Source organism: Homo sapiens, chromosome 20 (genome assembly GCF_000001405.40).
Source record: "Homo sapiens chromosome 20, GRCh38.p14 Primary Assembly".
Classification (NCBI taxonomy): Eukaryota; Metazoa; Chordata; class Mammalia; order Primates; family Hominidae; genus Homo; species Homo sapiens.
The window spans coordinates 1429924-1435923 of NC_000020.11; positions in this window are offsets into that span (position 1 = coordinate 1429924).

Here is a 6000-nt window from a genome sequence, read left to right on the forward strand (position 1 = left end):
GATCTATGGTAAAACGTTATTTCAGAGTGTGTCTGTGAGGGTGTTTTCTAGATTAGTATTTGAATCAGTGGATGGAGTAAAGAAGATCATCCTCCCCAGTGTGGGCAGACATCATGGATGAACTTCGGTGTTGAAGGCCCATTAAAATAGAACAAAAATGTGGAGGAAGTGCAAATTCTCTCTCTTTTTCAGCTGGATCACCTTCTCCTGCTCTCAGACAATGGAGCTCTTGGTTCTCAGGCTTTTGGACTCTAAGGCTTATATCAATAGCCTCCCACCCCCAGATTCTCAGACCTTAGGCCTTGGAGTGGGAGTTACACCACTGGCTTCCCTGATTCTCAGGCTCTCAGACTTCAACTGAATTACATCACCATCTTTCCTGGTTCTTCAGCTTGTAAATAGTATGTCATGGGACTTCTTGGCCTCTGTAATTGCATGAAACAATTCCCATAATAAATCTTCTCTATATGTATTGCATTGGTTCTGTTTCTCTGGAGAACTCTGACTAATATAATTCCTAAGAGTGGAATTTCTGGGTCATATGTAATTCTATGTTTAGCTTTTTGAGGAGCCACCAAATTGTTTTCCACAGCAACTTCCAACAGTGACAAGGGTTTCTTTTTTCTTTTATAGGTTCAGTATTCTTTATTATAAACAATCAGACAACAGTGTAAGTGTGCATTTGATGGATAACCGAAGCCAAGTTATTATAATAGAAAGCATGACTTCGCTCAAATAGAGTTTCTTTGTTGTTGTTGATCTGTTTTACATTAATTTGAATTTAACATATGCTAGGATCACCTAAATTTGTCATACAGTTCTGCTATTAAAATTGTAACAGGGAAAGACAAAATGTGAAATGCATGTTATATTTTGCTTTATTTGTTGAATATCTATCTATCTATCTACACTAAATATTTGGGACACATTCAGAGTTAAGCAGGTGCTTAAAGTCTATCAAGTGATATTTATAAAATGTTTTTGTTGCTGTTATGGGAACATCCATATCCTTAGAAGCCAATAAAAAAGAGGATTCTAAATGCTAGGTGGTTGGCTAAATGTTCCTGATTTATACTGAGTGTAAAACAAAATAAAACAAAACATAAGGTATATGTGTTAAGTAGTGACATCTACATAGTTCCAAAGCACTGGCAACTATTAAAATATCATCCAGCTAAAACAAACTTTTCACAATTTTTTTTAACAGAAAAATAATAAACCAACAACAAAAACTGGTAAATGTTCTGGGTCTTGTGAGCAGACCAAAATGTTACTACAGTGTTCTCTATTGTGTGATCCCAGTGTACAAGTTTCTATTTCTCCATATCCTTATCAACATTTGCTATTTTCCATGTTTTTGATTATAGTTATCCTAGCGGGTGTGAAGTGGTTTATCTCTTGCAGGTGTTAAGTGGTATCCCACTGTGGTTTTCATTTGCATTTCTTTAGTAACAAATGATGCTGAACATGCTTTCATGTGCTTATTGGCCATTTGTATGTCTTCTCTGGAGATATGTCTATTCAGGTTCTTTGCCTATTTCTTAATTTTTTTTTTTTTTTTTGTGGTTGAGTTTTAAGTGTTCTTTATATATTCTGGATACAAGTCCATTATTTGCAAATACTTTCTCTCATTTTGTGGGCTGTGTTTCTACTTTCTAGATAATATATTTTATTGTGCAAATGGTTTTACTTTTTATGAAGTCTAATTTATCCATTTCTTCCTTTTGTTGCTCATGCTTTTGGTGTCAAATCTAAGAATCCATTGCCAAGTCTGAGGTTATAAATATTTACTCCTATGTTTTTCTCTAAATAGTTTACCCCTATGTTTTCCTCTTGTATTTGGGTCATTGATCCATTTTGAGTTAATTTTTGTGTATGGAGTGAGGTACGGGTCCAGCTTCATTCTTTTGCCTGTGATTATGCAGTTGCCCCGGCACTGTTTGTTGAAGAGACTATTCTTTCCCCATTGAGTTGTGCTGAACACTTATTGAAAATCAATTAGCCATAGATATTTATTTCTAGGCTGTCAATTATATTCCACTGGTGTATATGTCTGTCCTTATGTCAGTACCACACTGGTTTGATTATAGAAGTTTGGAGCATGTTTGGAAATCTGGAAGCATGAGCCCTGAAACTTTGTGTTTCTTTTTCTTTCTTTTTTGGTGTGTTTCTTTTTCAATAGTATTTTGACTACTTGGGGTTCATTCCAGTTCCACATAAATTTGAGGATTAGTTTTTCTATTTCCTTAGGAAATGCCATTGGAATTTTGATAGGGGTTGCATTGAATCTGTGGATCATTTGCAATTAATATTCCAATACATCAACATGTGTTGTCTTCCATTTATTTAGGTCTTCTTTAATTTCTTTCAGCAATGTTTTGTAGTTTTCAGCATAGAAGTCTTTCTCCTTGGTTTAAGTATTTTACTCTTTTGGATGCTGTTATAAATGGAATTGTTACTTAATTTCATTTTCAGACTGTTCATTGCTGATGCATAGAAAATGGACTTTCGTGCACTGATCTTGCAATCTGCAACTATGTTGAATTTGTTTATTGGCTCTAGTAGTTGTGTGCATTTTGGTATTGTTATATTTTCTATACATAGAATTATTTCATCTTCAAATAGAGATAACTTTACTGCTTCCTTTCCAGTTTGGAGGCTGTTTATTGCTTTTTCTTGCCTAACTGCTCTGGCTAGGACTTCCAGTACAATATTTAATAGTAGTGGTAAAAATGGGCATTCTTGTCTTGTTCCTGCTCAGTGGGGAAGCTTCTGCTCTTTTACCATTGAGTATAATGTGAGTTGTGGGTTTTGTGTAAGTGACCTTTATCATGTTAAGGAAGTTCTCTGTATTCTGATTTGTTGGTGAGTGTTTGTATCCTGAAAGTGTTTGAAGTGTTGAATTTTGTTGCATGCATTTAATGTATCTATTGTGATATCATTTCCCTCTTTACAGAGTTGTGTTACATTGATGGATTTTTTTTTTTCTTATGTTGAGCCACCCTTGCATTTCTGGGAGAAATCCCACTTGGTCATGATCTATAATCCTTTGAATGTGCTACTGGATTTGGTTTGCTATTTTGTTGAGGATTTTTTGAGTCTATATTCATAAGATATACCGGACAGTCGTTTTGTCTGCCTTTGATATCAAGGTAACGGTGGACTCATAGAATCATACCTTTGATATCAAGGTAACGGTGGACTCATAGATATTCTGCATTTATATTTTTGTAATCACAATTTGTAAAGAATTCTCAAAATCCAACAGTAAGAAAACAAATAATCCAATAAACAAAAAGGCAAGGACTCTTTTTTTTTTTTTTTTTGGAGACGGAGTCTTGCACTCTCACCTAGGCTGGAGTGCAGTGGCACCATCTCGCCTCACTGCAAGCTCCGCCTCCTGGGTTCACGCCATTCTCCTGCCTCAGCCCTCCAAGTAGCTGGGACTACAGGCACCCGCCACCACGCCCGGCTAATTTTTTGTATTTTTAGTAGAGACGGGTTTTCACCATGTTAGCCAGGATGGTCTCGATCTCCTGACCTTGTGATCTGCCCACCTCAGCTTCCCAAAGTGCTGGGATTACAGGCATGAGCCACCATGCCTGGCCGGCAAGGACTCTTAAAAATGCTTTATCAAAAAGGATTTATGGGTGGCAAATGGCATATGAAAAGATGTTCAGCATCATTAGCATCACAAGACATGCTAATGTCAAAACCATGACAAGAGATAACTACACACCTATTAAAATGACTAAAATAAAAATGCTGACAATACCAAGTGTTGGTGAAGCTAAGTAGCACCCAAAAATCTCATATATTGCTGACAGGAATGTGCAGTGCAACAGCCACTCTGGGAAATGATTTGACAGTTTTAAATAAAGTTAAACATACACTTACCATATAACCCAGCCACCCCAGACCCTAGACATCTCTAGAGTATTCACCCTAGAGCAGAGGTCCCCAAAACCTAGGTCATGAACCAGTATCAGTCCATGGCCTGTTAGGAACCAGCCGCACAGAGGAGGTGAGAGGCTGGTGAGTGAGCAAAGCTTTATCTATATTTATAGCCTTGCCCCACTGCTTGCCACCTGAACTCCACCTCCTGTCAGATCAGATCAGCAGCAGCATTAGATTCTCATAGAAGTGCAAACCCTATTGTGAACTGTGCATGTAGGGGATCTAGACTGTGTGCTTCTCATGAGAATCTAATGCCTGATGATCTGTCGCTGTCTCCCAACACCCCAAGATGGGACCATCCAGTTGCAGGAAAACAAGCTCAGGGCTCCCACTGATTCTACATTACGGTGAATTGTATAATTATTTCATTATATATTACAATGTAATAACAATAGAAATAAAATGCACAATAAATGTAAATGTGCTTGAATCATCCCGAAACCATCCGCCCTACTCCCTAAGTCTGTGGAAAAATTGTCTTCCACGAAACCTGTCCCTGATGCCAAAAAGATTGGGGACTGCTGCCCTAGAGAAAGGAAAATTTTGTTCACAGAAAAACCTGTACATGAATGTTTATAGCAGCTCTATTTCTAATTGCCCCAAACTGGCAACAACCCAAATATCCTCTAATGGTTGAACAGATAGACAGATTGTTGCACATTCATATCATGGACTATTACTTGGCAATGAAAAAACAATGAACTTTCCATAAGCACAACATATGAAAATTGTTCCTCCAGATGAATCTCAGAGGAATTATGCTAAGAGGCCAGTCTCCAAAGGTTAAATGCTGTATGCTTCCATTTACATGATGTTCTGGAAAAGACAAAACCACAATGATGAAGAAGAGATCAGTGGCTGTCAGGGATTGGGTTTGAGGGGTAGTGTGACTATCAAGGCATTGCATGAGGGAGGTTCTGGGATGATGGAATTGTTTTGTGTCCTGATTGTAGTGGTGGTTACATGAATCTATACGTGTGCTGAAATCTGTATAATTATATACAACATAGTTAATTTTACTGTATGATAATTTTAAAAATTAAATGAATTAGAAAATGGTTAACAGTTAATACTCACTCATATGGCCAAATGTATAACAACTCTTATGAGGCAGCAGTCTGGCAGAACTTATTTTCTGGTCACAACCCTGCTGACCAAAACAGGATGTGGTCTACACAAAGTGAAGAAACCGCAGGAACCAGCAGATGGTGAGGAAAGTGATCCCTAGCTGCCCTCATTGCTCATTAGCATATGACACTCCCACAAGCACCATGACAGTTTACAAATGTCATGGTAATTACCTGGAAGTTACCACCCCTTTCCTAGGAAGTTCTAAATAACCTGTCCCTCAGTTTGCATTGGCTTGCCCCTTAATTTGCATGTAATTAAAAATGGGTTTATGTGAGTATACAGTTGCCAGGAGCCCATATGTTGCTGACTGAAGTGCACTGCCTAGGAGTTATCCTTGCTCTACAAAGAGCAGTACTGTTCAACAAAAGATTGCCAATTCCACTGGCTTGTCCTTAAAAGCTAAGGACCCTTCTGGGATAAGCACCAATTTTGGGGCTCACCTATTCTGTATCAGTTATACTGACATACCCATTTTGCAGATGAAGAAAAGGAGGCCCAGAGGGGCTGTTGGGTTGCCCAGGGTCTCAGAGCTAATAAATGGCAGAGCTGAGAACCTGATTTGGGCAGTTTGCCCTCATGGTCATTATTCAAAATCTCTTCATTAACTGACTCAACTGGGGGGCACAAGGCCAAATTTTTCTGAGTTTTCAGGTAGCTGGTGATTGTTTTTGTTTAAGTCTCCTAGGATTTTTTTTTTTTTTTTACAAATTACATGTTTTTGTAATTTGTTACATGCTGTAATAAGAACTTTAAAAAAAGTAGATTTACAACAGCTGAATTTCCTAAAATACAGGGTGCTTGATCATAAGACTCTTCAAGAAAAAGATATTTTAGAACACTAATAAATACAATGCGAAAAAACTGTATTCTTATCTGGGTCCTTCTATCAGTGAAGCCAAAAGAGCTATTACA